The following is a 17574-nucleotide window of genomic DNA, read 5'->3' as shown; positions in this document are numbered from 1 at the left end:
TGTGGTTACACTGATGTGACTCAATTGTAGCTTCTATCAGTGAACCAGAGTCAGGTATGACATATAATTGGGATTCAATCAGTTGTTGACAAATTGATTAGTACAAAGCATTACAGTGAGAAACAAAGACCATCACAGAAATTCTACCATTTCCCGAAGCAATCAAGTGATTGCTTAGGTCATAGTTATGCACCTCCTGTAATCTGAGCAGGCAACCTTCGTGTGTGATGCTACCAAGAGAAATCCATCACCCCCCAACCCCCTCACCACTCTCTTCCTTTGAGATGTGCTTCTTCCTTTCTTCCTTATCTATTTTTATGGCCCAGTGCTCTTCTCCTAACTAAGCTTTCTCTTTCTTCATGCTCTCTCATCCTCCTATTCCTAAGACCCAATATCCTCATTCATACTATAAGCATTGCTTAAATGGATTTTCCAGATCACTGAAGCTTATTCCTTTGAAAGCTAAAATGCCTTTAAAAATTACTTTAACCATTTTGGCTGGAAGTTTTTAAAATGTGCCATTTGCTCCCTTTACTTCTTCTTATTTTTTTCAGATGGAGTCTCGCTCTGTTGCCCAGGCTGGAGTGCAGTGGCACGATCTCGGCTCACTGCAACCTCTGCATCCCGGGTTCAAGCAATTCTTCTGCCTCAGCCTCCTGAGTAGCTGGGACTACGGGTGTGTGCCACCACGCCCAGCTAATTTTTGTATTTTTAGTAGGGACAGGGTTTCACCATATTGGCCAGGCTGCTCTTGAACTCCTGACCTCATGATCCACCTGCCTCGGCCTCCCAAAGTGCTGGGATTAGAGGCATGAGCCACGCGCCTGGTCCCCTTTACTTCTTAAGAGTATACACCTTATAACTTGAAACTCTCTTGGCCTTGCAGGCTCATCAGTCTAAACATCCCCTCAGGCACTTCTGACAAGGCAAGAACTCTCTTCCCTACACTCCACAGCTCCAGATCGCTGAGTATTAGTATTTCAGTTTTTATCTCATTTTTATAGTTCTGTCTTTTAATTTTCTTTTCTTTTCTTTTTTTTTCTGAGACAGAGTTTTGCTCTTGTCGCCCAGGGTGCAGTGCAATGGCACAATCTTGGCTCACTGCAACCTCTGCCTCTCGGGTTCAAGTAACTCTCCTGCCTCAGCCTCCCAGGTAGCTGGGATTACAGGCATGCACCACCATGCGAAGCTAATTTTTTTTTGTATTTAGTAGAGAATGGGGTTCCACCATGTTGGTTGGGCTGGTCTCGAACTCTTGACCTCAGGTGATCCACCCGCCTCAGCCTCTCAAAGTGCTGGGATTACAGGCGTGAGCCACCGTGCCCAGCCAGAACGTTTTAATTTTCATTGCTGTCATTATGTCTGACTTTTCCATCTTCACCTCCCACTCCCTAATCTGCTGTGGGGTGGGTAGCCAGACAGGCAAACTCATGTGAACCTTGCGTGAGAGAAGGTTTTACTGATACTGGTTCATGGGTCTTTGAGTAAGAGGCCTAAGGCCTGTCCTGTGAGTAGGGTTCATTGGATTTGTGTCAACAATTTCAAGCGTTCAGAGACCCTTTTTACTTAATTCTGGGTTTGGGACATATGAGTGGTAAGTGAAGGTAAGTAAAGTAGGCTGAAGTTTGACATTGGGATAGGTGGGGTATCACTGTCATTTATATTTATATAGAAACACTGTTTCCAGAACAGCCTGTATTCATGCTTTTAGGCCACAGTACATCCATGCAAACTATCATCATTCTCCAGTTAAACTGCAGACAAAAATAAATAAGACAGAAAAGGGCAAAATCCTGACTTTGGTAAATCAGAGATCATCAGATGGTCGGGGCTTCCTCAGATATCTCTGTGTCCCAGCCTTTCATTTCCCTGCTTTTAACTTAGGACATTCTTTTGCTATAAGCTAAGCGACCAAGCACCATCACCCCCAAGCTCTACGTGTCATTCTCCCGTCTGAGACACCATTAAGTACACTACCTTTCCAGCTTCTTTTTTTCTTTTTTCTTTTTTCTTTTTTTTTTTTTTTTTTTGAGACAGAGTTTTGCTCTTGTCCCCCAGGCTGAAGTGCAATGGTGCGATCTTGGCTCATTGCAACCTCCACCTCCCGGGTTCAAGCGATTCTCCTGCCTCGGCCTCCTGAGTAGCTGGGACTACAGGCACGCACCACCACATCTGGCTAATTTTTGTATTTTTATTAGAGACAGGGGTTTCATCATGTTGACCAGGCTGGTCTCGAACTCCTGACCTCAAGTGATCCGTCCACCTCAGCCTCCTGAAGTGCTAGGATTGCAGGCATGAGCCACTGTGCCCGGCCTTTTTCCTTTTTCTAGATAAATGAAAGTAATGTATTTATTCACTTATTATAAATTCCTTTAAAATAATAATATAGTTTCCGGGTTTTCTGCTGTACCGCTGTTGAAAATACTAATGATATTATTGATCAGCTATTTTCCCCATTGCTTTATCATTGTTGCTATTTTCTTCTTTTTTAAAAAATAAATTTTACCATGTACATTCAAGGTATAATATATCATGATGTTACAGAATACATACATATAGTAAAAAGGTTACTATAGTGAAGCAAATTAAAGTATCCATCATCTGACATAGTTATCCAATTTTTGTTTTTTTGTGGCAATAGCAGCTAAAATCTACTCATTTGGCATGAATCCCATATATGGTACAATTTTATTACCTATAGTCCTCGTGTTGTACACTAGATCTCTTTTCAGTTTCTTAAAGTGGAAACTTGCTGTCATCAATGGCTCTTCCCTCGGTTTCCCCACTTAAACCAGGCAGTTTCGAGATTCTGGTGTATGTGGTTCACTCCATGTCCAAGATGCATTTTACCTTCTTCTCACTCACGCCTGCCAGAATTCTAATCCATGGCTCTTGCACACTTCTGTTTTCCAGACATCCCTCTCACCTCTCTACCCAAATCCATCCTAAATATAATAGTGCCCTAGTCTTTCATCACTGGGCTAGCAATCTCCATTTCCTTAGCACTGTCATTGGTTAGCTCTCCAAATATATCTTGCTTGCATTTGAATGCTATATTTTCACCTTTAGTTCCTTTTATAGTACTTCTTACCACCCACCTCCTCCTGTTCAATCTTTACATTAGCACCTTCCAGTTTTATATGTTCCATATAGTTTTGCAGACAGAATTAAAGAAATATGTTAGAATTCTCTTTTCTCATCTGTCTACTCCAGAGTCCTATCCCTTATCGCACTTTCATACGAAATAAAGAAATTTTCTTTTCTAAATGCCTTGGAATTTAGTGACTACGTTCCCGATTTAATTTACTCAACTATTTGCCCTTTTATATATTTCTCAAGACTCTAGATAAAGAATGACCAGGTTTGTTGTTGTTCTCCACATGCCCTGCCCCCTCCTCCTTCCTCACATTGTAATTGTCAACAATAGCCGGACCGCACTTCTGAACATTTGGTGTGGAGCTACGTCCCAAATTAAATAAATCCCATCCCCTGTCCATCCTTCCACCTTTCCCATGGCACTCCAGTGGGGCCAGTAGAATCTCCATTTCATGGTCAATGAAGCCCCTTCCACCTTCAACTTATTCAGAAAGGCTTCTCTCCTCCATAGGCCTGGGCTTCCTCCAGAGCACAGCAGCACTCCTGACTCCTGCAGCCCTTCTGAAGGAAAGGACCCACCCATCCCCAGGACACCCACCTCAGGCCCAGGAGCAGGGGAGGCTCTGCTTGCCCCCAGGGCTGCTCACAGAGAAACACCCCACCACCCTCCTTTCAGGCCCATGACCTCTGACTAAACTTCCTTCCCCTGCTCCTCATCTGGGTCCACGTGGTGCCCCCCACTGTTGAACACACCTGCTTTCCAGGTCCTTGCCCACCTCATCGCCAATACTCTCTTTCGATGGCTTGGGCTGCCCATGTTCTAGGCTCCACCCCAGGGCATCCCTTGCCCTGGGACTGCTCCCCCTGCACTTCCCACCATCCTACCTCCTAAGGCCCTCACTGCAGTCAGCCTGCTCCCTGACACAGTCGGTCAGCATTCCAGTCCTACTACCCTCCTACTTCTCCCAGTTGACTGGCCCATCCTGGCTTCTCTTCCTTCCCTACCCAGCTTAGATTCTGTGGCTGATGTCCAGAATTGCTCTTTCACCAGCCCCCTCGGCTCCCTGCCAGCAAACCTTCGCCTGGACTTCCTACACCAATCTGCTACTTGGGACACCTCCTGACACTCTCTGACAGTCACACTCTACGTCCTGGCTTGGGCCTGCTGAAGTCTCAACGGAACCTCTTCCTAGGTGCTGGCTCTACCCACTCCTGGTTTGGCCTGTCCTCTTCCCTTCCAAGCTGCTAATCTAATGCATGAAGTGAAAACCTTGTGTTTCTATTATAATTTATTATTTTAAAAATGCTTTTGGATACTTATTTTATCCAGAATACAACCTCTTATGGGGTGGAAGCTCAAGATAATATTGCAGCTGAAAAAAAAAATTGCAGTTCATGGAGGTTGTATGGCTTACTCAAGCTCTCACAGCCTCAAAGAGTGGAACTGATTGGTCATCAAAATGTGGCAGGCCAGGTCTCACTAACGCAGGCCTCCATAACAACTGTCTCAGTACTGACTGAGTGGTTCAGTTAAATATTAAAAGCTCAAAGAGCCAGTGCCCTATACAAAGGCTGGAATGTAACAAAAGCCCACCAAGAGTTTTGTCTAGGCCTTTCCTGGGCGTTAAAGCATGGCAAGATAACGAAGGAATTCTTAACAGGACCTATTTAGGATTAAACAAGTTTTACTGGGGATGTGAAGAAACTCCCCAGGCCTCCACAAACAAGTTGATTGGGGGTCTGAAGGAACTCTGCAAACCTCCATGATTTAGCAGGAGACAAGATAAGGGTAATCACCCCAGCACCTGGACCGATTTAGATTAAGTAAATTTACTGAGGCTCCAGAGGAAGGTCTTCAGGACTCAGACCTTAGTTATAGATGAAAAGAAGTTAATCACTTACGTCTTTAGATGAGTGCACACTTACACGTAGACATATAGCTTAGAAGGTATATAAGCTCTGGAAAACTTTCTAATTTTGAGTTGGTCTGGTGATAATTTCCAGGCCTTCTCCCTGGAGCCACTTACAGAAATAAAAACTCTCTTCCTTCCCAGTTCATCTGTATCTCGTTATTGGGCCATGAGAAATAGCAGCCCAACCCTCAGTTTGGTCCAGGAACAATAATGTTAGAGGTGTTTGAACCAGAGCACGCAGAAACCGCAATTACTTTTGCACCAACCTAATAAAACAGTTGCAGTAAAGAAGCCAGCTAAAACCCACCAAAACCGAGATGGCAACAAGAGTGACCTCTGGTCATTCTCACGGCTATACTCCCATCAGCATCATGACAGCTTACAAATGCCATGGCAACCTCAGGAAGTTACCCTATGTGGTCTAAAAAGGGGAGGCATGAATAGTCCACCCCTTGTTTAGCATATCATCAAGAAATAACCATAAAAATGGGCAACCAGCAGCCCTTGGGGATGCTCTGTCTATGGAGTAGCCATTCTTTTATTCTTTTACTTTCTTAATAAACTTGCTTTCACTTTAGTCTATGGACTCACCCTGAATTCTTTCTTGTGCGAGATCCAAGAATCCTTTCTTGGGGTCTGGATCGGGACCCCTTTCTGGTAACAATAATAATCAGAATATATTTTCTTTCCACCCATCTGAGATACCTACGCTACGCCCAATTATTTGACATGCTAGTTGTGGGGGTCACAGGAGTAGATGAACAATAAATGCATTAATCAAAAAGAGACATTCAGAAGACCAGTGTAAAGGGGTAACCGCTGTGAAGGCAGGGATCTCAAGATCAGTTTTCCATATGCAGTCAGCCATCCCTGAAGCAAACATTCAGGCTGTAACTCTTGGCCCAGAGACAGAAAAAAATCCAATCAAAGAGATGCAGAGAAAATCCATGCTGGCCAAGCAGTCTTGTGCCCTCTGTGCTGGCTCTCACAAGCCAAATGCAATAAATGAAGAGGAGGCACAGCATTGGAAGAACAACTGAGCCCATGGATGGCGAATCAGGGGAGAAAAGAGAGCATGCTGGAACTTATTCCTTATCATAAGCAACTCCACTCATGCATAATTAGTGTGCACTGGAAGAGAAGACTGGTATGTGACATGCTCATCCCTGAACAAAATTAAAATAAAACAGACTGCATCCCTCCCCATCCTGTACCATCTAGACATTTATGATGCGATAAAGACAATAAATACAATCCGGTACAAATCCTAATGGATACACAGACAACAATAATGTAGAATGAAGACCCAAAGTACAATTTTTTAAAAATTTATGAGATGTGTGTTAAAAAAAAAAAAGATATGGCTCTACAAATCTTTGAGCCTCCTGGTTAAAAACAGTAACATTATATCTGTATTAGTACATATCTCTAGTAAAACTAATATTGTTATCTGCCCTAAGACTGCCCTCCCCCAAGAAAAATGTTAATATTTAGCAAAATCATCATTTACCTTGTAGAAGATCAAAAAAAGATCATCCAGTTTCCCATGCAAATCACCTGCAGTGCAAATGAAAAATCAGTATTCAGTAGAGAACAAGATGCAATGCCCATTTTTAAAAGTGAAATACTGCTGATCCACTCCAAGTGTTCTCAGGGCATTGGGTTTTTATCCTATGACGATGTTAATTTGACAGGCAATTTGTCTCCACAGCACTCTTCTCTTCCTCTCCTATAGTGGGGACAGCATCTAGTGCTTCAATTACCTTTTCAGTCCAGTCATTTGCACAGGGCTTCGATCACTCTGGGCCAAGCACTGTGCTAAGGGTTTTACATGAATTATCTAGTTCAGTCCTTACAACCACTCTATGAGATGGGTTTTATCTTCATCATTCTCATCTTACAAATGAGGCTCACAGTAGTTAAGTAAGTTATGCAAAGATACCCAGCCATCAAGTATCAGAGCAAGAATTCAAACCCAACTTTAACTCACTTCAAAACTCAAGCTTGGCTGGGTGTGATGGCTCACACCTGTTACCCCAGCACTTTGGGAGGCCAAGGCAGATGGATCATTTGGGCCCAGGAGTTCAAGACCAGCCTGGTCAACACGGCGAAACCCCGTCTCTACTAAAAATACAAAAATTAGCTGTGCATGGTGGCACACGCCTGTAATCCCAGCTACTTGTGGGGGCTGAAGCATAAGAATCGCTTGAACCCGGGAGGTGGAGGTTGCAGTGAGCTGAGATTGCACCACTGCACTCCAGCCTGGGTGACAGAGCAAGACTCCATCTCAAAAAAAAAAAAAAAAAAAATTGCCAGGTTTGGTGGTGCGCACCTGTGATCCTAGCTACTCAGGAGGCTGACTGAGGTGGGAAGATTGCTTGACCCTGGGAAGTCGAGGCTGCAGTGAGCTGTGATCATGCCACCACACTCCAGCCTGGGTGACAAAGTGAGACCCTGTCTCAAAAATAAAACGAAAAACAAAAAACCCCTCAGGCTCTTAGCGATTATTCTGTACACCCACACTGTAATCCCTAGGAGAGCAGCAACAGTATCTATTGTAGTCAGCATTGAATCCCCAAGTGCCTACCATAGGACCCAGTGGATAAGAGGCACTCAGTAAATACATTTCTTGGCTAAGTATATAGCTTTTTAAAGCCGTGTTTTTAATATACTCCAGTAGCAGCATCTGAAATTTAAACTTTGTGAGTAGGTAGTTGACATTCTTTGATGAGACATAGAAAAAAAATGAAAGCCAACTAGGGGAGATCATGAGTATCTGAAGCCATTAATTAAAAAATAAGGCCAGGCACGGTGGCTCATGCCTGTAATCTCAGCACTTTGGGAGGCCGAGGCAGGTGGATCACTTGAGGCCAGGAGTTCAAGGCCAGCCTGGCCAACATGGTAAGACCCTGTCTCTACTAAAAATACAAAAATTAGCCAGGTGTCGTGGCGTGCACCTGTAATCCCAGCTACTCAGGAGGCTGAGGCAGGAGAATCGCTGGAGCCCCGGGAGGCAGAGGTTGCAGTGAGCTGAGATCACTCCACTGCACTCCAGCCTGGGTGACAGAGCGAGACTCTGTCTCAAAAAATAGCAATAATAATGAGTGACTATGTGAATATCCAAAAGCCCCATTTGGATAACTATTTCTAGGTAAAATATCTTTCATAAGTTCTGCTCATAAATTTTTATTCTTTGTATCCAACTTAATTACTATACAATTTAATTTACGAATACTTTTCCCTCAGTTTGCTTAAAATCCCACAACCAAGATTAACCAAATACATGCAATAGAAGACTCCAAATATACTGGAAATAATAAAATAGAAATTCTATATCACCAGCACTTATTTATAAAATACTACTATAATATTATTAGCATATTAGTATCATTGTGTGCTTAAATCTCATTGCTTTCATATGGTCTCACTCTAAATCTAAGGACATAAAGATGGGAGGACTCTTTACTTAGTTTAATATTTTTAACTTCTAGTTGGACAGCGAAAGAAAAACTCGTACCATGGGAAGAAGGACAGAAAGATATTTCCACTGCCAACAAAAACATGAGTGCAGAATTGGTTATCATTTATAATATAACTGTAGACTAAAAATCCTCTTATATTTCATGCATGCTGAAAACTACGGGGCATATTTAGATGTACATGTAAAAAAATGCATCTCACAATTAAAATAATAGCAAATTTTCATCACAATCTCTCCCCCTTTCCTAACACCGTCTTAAACGGAAGATGGTTTTGAAGTTATGGCCCCAATTTTAAATTTTATTATAAATAATCATGAAATTTTTGAAGTTCAATGAGCTGTTAAAAATAGAAAATAATAATATTCCCATGTTAAGAAAACCCACTGGCCTTGTCTTTTCCCCCTACCAATGGTGCCACGTGAAAAAGTCTAGAAATAAGTGCCAAGATGTGGAAATCTTTAACCAATGGAGATGTCCAGTTAAGTCACGCCCTAATCTTTGTCTCACGATGGACAATGAACCACCAGGTACCTAATGCGAGTCAGGATGGCAGATGTGGGGCTGCCTCTAACCTGGGATACAGAAGACCTGATTTTAATTCTGATCCTGCCACTTTTCTCTCTGAGCTTCAATTTCACCCATAAGAGCAAGGAATAGACTAGAGAACCCTTCAGTTCTCACACTGTGGGATTCTAGGACTGCCCTGCCCTGTAATTAACGTGTGTCTTCTTCCAGATCCTTTTAGCAAGGATGAGTCTGTAGTGGCTCCCAGTGAAACACAGGGGAGCGGATCCCATTCTCAGTTTGGGCTATTCTATATATCCTAAGAGCACACCTAGCCCTGGCCTCACAGACTTCACAGGGTGGCATGGCTTTCTGAGCCTCATGACCCGAAGTCTCTATTTTCCATGAAAAGGCCAGGTGAGGCCTTGAATAAAAGACCCCCACTGCTGAGATGAATCATCTGCCAGTCAGAGACGTGATGCCTGATGAGGCTGGAAATGAACCATTAGAGACTCTTCAAAAACCTGAGTCAGGGCATGTGATGAGGTAGGCACTGCTACATCAAGTCCCTGCCACCACTATCAGACGCTAGAAATGCAAATAGTTTAATTAGATTGTCAAATTCACTTCTACCTGCCAGAATAAGAGAAATGCAGGCTAAAAACTGATTTGGAAAATAACAATCACTGTTTTGTAACCTAAAGGCTTAATTAGAAGTTAAGGGAATTGCTGTTCCTTCCACGCACCCCACTGTCAAACGGTTGCAAGCATGCTGAGCACCAACTGTGAGGAATTTCAATGTGTACTGTTTCTTGAAGCAATATCCTGCCAGGCTGGCCTATATGATAGCAAAATCTCAAATCTTGTTATTTAAAAGAACAAGAAACAGATTTCTGGGACATTCCCACTCTTCTAAAAGCTGCACAGACCAGTTGGAAAAATCTAAAACAGCAGCCAAGGGCAGAGAAGAATTTAATCTTCACCCCGCCACGGGCTTTTCTCTTCCCAGCACAAGTGGCATGCAGAGGCCCACCTAGAAAAAGCAACGTGGAACAAAGATAATGAGAGCTAGACGGAGGGCAAAGAATGCTTATTCCACCCATGGGTGGTTTTTCCATATTAAAATGCTGTCTGCCTTTATAAAAAGCTATGAGCTCTTTAATTTCTCACATAATTAATTCCTGCCAGCTGGTATGCAAAACAAAGACAAGATGGGGAACAGTATTATCATGATAGATAATTCTATATTAACATTTTTCCCTTAACACAGTCCAATTTACACAGTTTTCAAGTTAGGCAAACGATGTAGGACCAAGAGGCTCCTAAATATTAATTGGACAACTCTGCTCTGAAACTTACCACAGATTGTTACCTCTTTGGAGGGAGAAGTTTGTATGTGAGTGAAATTCGGCATTTGCTTCAGGACTTTCTTGGTTTCAAATAGCACCTCTAAGACATAATGGGCATGAAGTATCTGTGAGCGGGAAGCAGAGGAAATAGATGTAATGAACAAGGAAGAAAGACATGACTGTATAGAAAACTGTAAAGGTGGAGCAAGCACGCACGTTTCAGGTCGCTGTATTTCAGGATAACCTTTCAATTATTCTGAAATAGATCATTCTAGCCCAGTGTCTGGCATATAATAAGCCCTCAGTCGACGTGTGTAACTGAGAAAATGAATCATCATCCCAGGTCCTTAGAGCCCAAGAGAAGTGAAGGGAGGCACGCCCTTGCCCTAGGGAAACGTGCAGACAAAAAGCCAATTGTAATAATAAAAGAGAAAAAGAAAAAGGAGAGGGAGAATGAAAAAAAATTATAAATACATACTCCAAAATATAATACAGCAGAGATGTGACTACCACACAAATTTAACATATTTTAATAGGTCAAAACTATTTAGACCTATTGCCATATTGGACCTATGCTGTCCAATATGGCAGCCACTAGCCACATGGAGCTACTGAGCATGTGAAATGGAGCTAATCTGAATTGAAATGTGCTGTAAGTGAAAAATTCACACTGGATTTTCAAGCTCTTTCCTTTTTTGTGGTGGGGAAGAGATAGGGTCTCATTAGGTTGCCCAGGCTGGTCTCGAACTCCTGGTCTCAAATGATCCTCCTGCCTCAGCCTCCCAAAGTGTTGGGATTATAGGTGTGAGCCACCACCCCCAGCCACATGTAATCTATTGATTCCCAACACTGGCTTCAGTGTTACCTTAGCTTATCATTGTAGTTTTTCTGGTCCATTGGTAGTACTTATCAGAGTAACTGTTGTCTAAAGGGGAAGTTTTCTTTTTTATAAAAGCTAAATTAACAAATATTCACTGAGAATATATTGCAACAACAGAAAATTATTATGAAAATAATTTCTCTGGGTCTTTGGATTGACTAAAATCATTTTGGTCATACTAGTCCTTGCCTATAAGGCTATCTTTCCATAGCATTAGAATTATATTTACAACTGCAATATTAAATGCTCAAGATGATTAACTCAGATGGCAGTTTCTCCATTTATAAATATATTCAGGTTAAATAACCACTTGAATAAAATAGTCACATTCTTTTAAGTTAGAGGAAAATACTACCTTTAAAGAATATTTCTTTTTAAAAAAGTAGTTTTAGGGCCGGGCACAGTGGCTCACACCTGTAATCCTAGCACTTTGGAAGGCCGAGGTGGGCAGATCACTTGAGGTCAGAAGTTCGAGACCAGCCTGGCTAACATGGTGAAACCCCATCTCTGTTAAAAATATAAAAATTAGCCAGGCATGGTGGGGCGCGCCTGTAGTCCCAGCTACTCAGGAGGCTGAGGCAGGAGAATCACTTGAACCCGGGAGGCGGAGGTTGCAGTGAGCCAAGATTGCGCCATTGCACTCCAGCCTGGGCAACAGAGCGAGACTCTATCTCAAAAAAAAAAGTAGTATTAAAATGGAGAAACACGTCATTTTTTTAGTTGAAATAAAATTTTAAATAGTAGAAATGGGTAAAATAATGAAAAGTCATTTTCCGTCTCCCCTAGATCTTATTCCCCTAATCCCTACCCCTAGAAACAGCCACTGTTAAAAGTATCGTATCTTTCCCAGAAATATTCTATGTGTTTGCAAGCATACAAAAATCAATATAACCACAGATGAATACAAAAATGCATGTATAAACATATAATCCCTTAAATACAATGTGCTATATCCATACAAAGTAACATTACTCAGCTAAAAATAGGAAGGAAGTACTGATCCATGCTACCACGGATGGACTCTGGAAACATGCCAAGCAACAGACGCCAGGCACAAAAGGCCACATATATTGTACGATTCCACTTACAGGAAGTGTTCATATTAGACAAATCCATAGAGAAAGAAGGTAAATTAGTATTGCCAGGGGCTGGGGGAGGGAGCAACTGGGAGTGACTGCTAATGGGTAAAGGGTTTTGTTTGGGGGTGATGAAAATGTTCTGGAATTACATAGTGGTGATGGTTGCACAACATTTTTAATATACTAAAAACTGTTGAACCATACACTCTTTTTTTGGGGGCTGGGGGGGATGGAGTCTCACTCTGTCGCCCAGGCTGGAGTGCGGTGGCACGATCTCGGCTCACTGTAACCTCTGCCTCCTGGGTTCAAGTGATTATCGTGCCTCAGCCTCCCGAGTAGCGGGGACTACAGGCACGTGCCACCATGCCCAGCTGATTTTTGTATTTTTAGTAGAGACGGGGTTTCACCATGTTGACCAGGCTGGTCTTGAACGCCTGACCTCAAGTGATTTGCCTGCCTCGGCCTCCCAAAGTGCTGGGATTACAGGCGTGAGCCACTGCACCCGGCCTCATACACTTTAAAATGATTTAAATGATCACTTTTACATTAGATGAATTTTTTCTCAATTAAAAAAATCAAAATATACATGATCCTTTTTTTTTTACTCTGTACACTGTGTTGAACCTTTTATTCTTCCCTTAATAACAGTCTTTTCATTTTTATAAAGTCAGAATTATCAATCTTCTCTATTATGGCTCCTTGGATTGATTTATCTCCTTGAACTTATATTAAGCATATTTATTTTAAACTCAGAGTCTGATAATGCCACTAACCAAATACCCTACAGGTCTGTTTCCATTGTTGTTTGCCTCAGTTTTCTTCATGTGTCTTATAACCTCCTGTGCTTGGTTATATTTGTATTGAGTTCTGGAAATTGCATATGAAAAACTGAGGCCAGGTGCAGTGGCTCATGCCTATAATCCCAGCACTTTGGGAAGCCGAAGTGGGAGGATCACTTGAGGCCAGGAGTTCGAGACCAGCCTGGGCAACACAGTGAAAACTTGTCTCTACCAAAAGCTAATAAAAAATTAACTGGGCATGATGGCATGTGCCTACAGTCCCAGCTACTTGAGAGGCTGAGGGGGGAGGATTGCTTGAGCCCAGGAGGTCAAGGCTTCAGTGAGCTATGATAGTGCCACCACACTCCAGCATGGGTGACAGAGTGTGACCCTGCCTTTAAAAAAGAAAGGAAGAAAGAAAAACTGAACAAACAATCTCAGGCCTATTGTCTTCCAGAGAAGACTTAAATTTGCTGTTGGCAGGTGGTTAGGAGCCTTAGCTATCTAAGATGATCTCAGTTCAATCTCAGGAATTACATGATTCATTCCAAGCTGTTCTCTGATCATTGAAAAGCCAGTCTTCCAGTTCACTCTTACTCCTAGGTATGCCCTTTAGGGTCCTAACCTGAGAATGAGGGTACTGGGGTGATGTCAGAGAAAACGGTCATGTAGGCAACTCTAAGGTCCCATTCCGCCACAAAAACATTGACAAATCAAGCAAAAACAAACAAACAAACAAACCCTGTCAGAATCAACTTTGTCAGAACTCTGGAAAATACTCAAAGTTTATAGCAACCAAACAGTGAATCAAGAAAAAGGAAACTGAACAATGGTTCAGCACAAGCGGGAAGTAAAGACTAACATTTGTAAATGGCCCAAGGAGTTGAAGGAGTGCTCCAACAGAGAGCCAATCTGCAAATATTTGTTGTTGGTTTTTTTCCCTTCCTTTTTTTTTTTTTTTAAATCGCTCCTGGTGTTCAAGGAAGTCTCTGTCAAAACACTAACTTAACACAAGCTAAAGGAACAGAGATTTCAGAGACCACACACAACTAGACCTAATAGATATCTACTAAACACTTTCCCCAACAAAAGCAGACTATACATTGTTCTCAAGGACACATGGAACATTCTCCAGGATAGACCAGATGTTAGGCCACAGAATAAACCGCATCGAATTTAAAAAGACTGAAATCATGCAAAGTATCTTCTTTGACCACAATGGAATGAAACTAGACATCAATAACAAAAGCAAAACTAGAAAATTCATAAATATGTAGAAATTACACAACATACTCTTAAAAAACCAATGGGTAATAAAAAGATCACAAAGGAAATTAGAAAATACTTTGAGAAGAATAAAAATGAAAACACAACATATCAAAACTTATGGGATACAGCAAAAGCAGTGTTCAGAGAGAAATTTGTAGCTGTAAATGCACACATTAAAAAAGAAGGATCTCAAATCAATAAACTAACTTAATATTTTGACAAAGAAAATACGAATTAGAGTGGAGATAAATGAAATAAAGAATAGAAAAACAATAGAGAGAATCAACAAAACCAAAAGTTGGTTCTTTGAAAAGATCAACAAAATTAACAAACCTTTAAGCAAGACTGACTAAGAAAAAAAGAGAAAATGAAAATAACTAAAATCAGAAACTAAAGTGGGGACATTACCATCAACCTTAAAGAAATAAAAAAGGGTTATGAGAGAATACTATGAACAATTGTACACCAACAAATTAGATTACTTAGATGAGATGAACAAATTCTTAGAAACTCCACAAATTACCAAAACAGACTCAAGAAGAAATAAAAAATCTGAACAGATCTAGAACAAGAGATTGGATCAGTCATCAAAAACCTCCTAACAAAGAAAAGTCCAAGGCCAAATGGCTTCAATGGTGAACTCTACTAAACATTTAAATTAGAATTAACACAATCCTTCTTAAACTCTTCCAAAAAACAGAATAAAAGGAAGCAATTCCTAACTCACTCTATGAGATCAGTATTACCCTGATACCAAAGCCAGGCAAAGACACTACAAGAAAAGAAAATTACAGACCAATATCCCTTATGAAATAGATGCAAAAATTCTCAACATAATACCAGCAAACCAAATACAACAGCATTTTAAAGGGATTATATACCATGGCCAAGAGGGATTTATCCCAGAAATACAAAGTTGGTTCAACATAAGAAAATTATTCAATATATCACACCACATTAATAGAACGAAGGGTAAAAAACGCACAATCATCTCAACTGATGTAAAAAAAAAAAAAAGCATTTGACAAAACCCGACAACTTTTCCTGATAAAACCACTCAGAAAACTAAGAATTGAAGGAAATTTCCTCAACATGATAAAAGACTTTTATGAAAAACCTACAACTAACATTAAACTCAGTAGTGAAAGATTGAAAGCTTTCCCCCTACGATGAGGAACAAGATAAACATGCCTACTTTCACACTGCTATTCAATATTGTGGTGGAAGTTCTAGCCAGAGCAATTGAGCAAGAAAAAGAAACAAAAGGCACCCAAATCAGAAAGAAGGAAATAAAACTATATTCACAGATACCATGATCTGGTATATAGAATATTCAAAAGAATACACCACACACGCACACATACACACACACACACACACAAACTACTAGAGCTAACAAGTATATTCATCAAAGCTGCAGAGTATAAGATCAACACACAAGTAATGAGCAATCAAAAAAGGAATTAAGAAAACAATTCCTTTTATAATATCAACCAAAAGAATAAATTGTTTAAGAATAAATTTAACCAAGGTGATGAAAGACTTGTCCACTAAAAGCTACAAAACATTGCTGAAAGAAATTAAAGACATAAATAAATGGAAAGACACCATGGGTTGAAAGACTTGTATTGTGAGGATGGCAATTATTACCCAAAGTGATATAGCAATTCAACGCAATCCCTATCAAAATCCCAATAGGCTTTTTTGCAGAAATGGAAAATTTGATCTTCAAATTCATTGCAAGGGACCCCAAATAGCCAAAACAATAATGAAGAACAATTTCAACACTGCAAAAGAACAAAGTTGAAGGACTCACACTTCCCTATTTCAAAACTTACTACAAAGCTACAGCAATCAAGACAGTGTGGTACTGGCACAGACACATAGACCAATAGAATAGAACTGAGAGTCCAATAACAAACCCAGATATCTATGGCCTATAGATTTTTATTTGTTTGTTTTTTTGAGATGGAGTCTCGCTTTCTCGCCCAGGCTAGGGTGCAGTGGCACGATCTCGGCTCACTGCAACCTCCACCTTTTGGGTTCAAGCAATTCTTCAGCCTCAGCCACCTGAGTAGCTGGGATTACAGGCATGAGCCACCATGCCTGGCTAATTTTTGTATTTTTAGTAGAGACAGGGTTTCATCATGTTGGCCAGGCTACTCTTGAACTCCTGACCTCAGGTGATGCACCCGCCTCGGCCTCCCAAAATGTTGGGATTACAAGCATGAGCCACTGTGCCCGGCCTGGCCTATTGATTTTTGACAAGGGTGCAAAGACCACTCAATGGGGAAAGAACAGTCTCTTCAACAGATGGTGCTGGGACAATGCATATCCATATGCAAAAAATTAATTTTGACTTCATACCATATATAGAAACTAACTCAAAATCATTCACAGACATAAGTGTAAAGGCTAAAACTATAAAACTCTTAGAAGAAAACACAAAGGCAAGTCTTCATGACCTTAGATTTGACAATGGATTCTTAGATATGACACCAAAAGCACAAGCAACCAAGACACCAAAAGCACAAGCAACCAAGAAAAAACATGGATAAACTGGACTTTATCAAAATGTAACGCTTTTATGCATCAAAGTACATTATCAAGAAAATGAAAAAACAACCTACAGAACGGGAGAAAATATTTGCAAATCATATATCTGATACGGAATTTATATCCAGAAAGAACTCTTATAACTCAATAATAAAAAGCCTGATTTTAAGTGGGCAAAGAATCTGCACAGATTTCTGCAAAGAAGGTATACAAATGGCCAATAAATACATAAAAAGATGCTCAACATCATTAGTCATTAGGGAAATGCAAAACAAAACCACAATGAAATGCCACGTCACACACACTAGGATGGCTATAATAAAAATAAAAAAAAAAACAAAATAACAAGTGTTGGCAAAAACATGAAGAAATTGGAACCTACATGGGAAGATAGATTGCTGGTAGAAATGCAAAATGGTGCCACTACTGTGGGAAGCAGTTTAGTAATTACTGGAAAATTTAAATATAGAGTTACCACATGATCCAGCATAGAGCTACCATATGACCCAGTGAAATATTCTTAAGTATAAGCCCAAGAGAACTGAGAACACATGTTTATATGAAAATCTGTGAATGAATATTCATAGCAGCACTGTTCACAATAGCCAAAAGGTGGAAATGATCCAAATGTCCATTCACTGATGAATGGATAAACAAAATGTGGTAT

General features: G+C 40.8%; 1 protein-coding gene across 19 annotated transcripts in view; it reads right to left on the bottom strand.

Annotated features, from left to right (window-relative positions):
* Positions 1 to 17574, bottom strand: part of PPEF1 (protein phosphatase with EF-hand domain 1) — a 152851-nt gene that overhangs the window by 59822 nt on the left and 75455 nt on the right. For 18 of the 19 annotated variants that reach the window (XM_047442194.1, NM_001377986.2, XM_047442195.1 and 15 more), the window contains 2 exons: positions 10355 to 10469; positions 6520 to 6566 (listed from right to left, as the gene is read on the bottom strand). In XM_047442194.1, the coding sequence (XP_047298150.1) occupies positions 6520 to 6566; positions 10355 to 10469 (162 nt within the window). The remainder of the gene's footprint in view (positions 1 to 6519; positions 6567 to 10354; positions 10470 to 17574) is intronic. The other variant, NM_001378382.1, reaches the window with a different exon arrangement.

Source organism: Homo sapiens, chromosome X (genome assembly GCF_000001405.40).
Source record: "Homo sapiens chromosome X, GRCh38.p14 Primary Assembly".
NCBI classification, from domain to species: Eukaryota; Metazoa; Chordata; class Mammalia; order Primates; family Hominidae; genus Homo; species Homo sapiens.
This window is presented reverse-complemented; position numbering and strand designations above follow the sequence as displayed.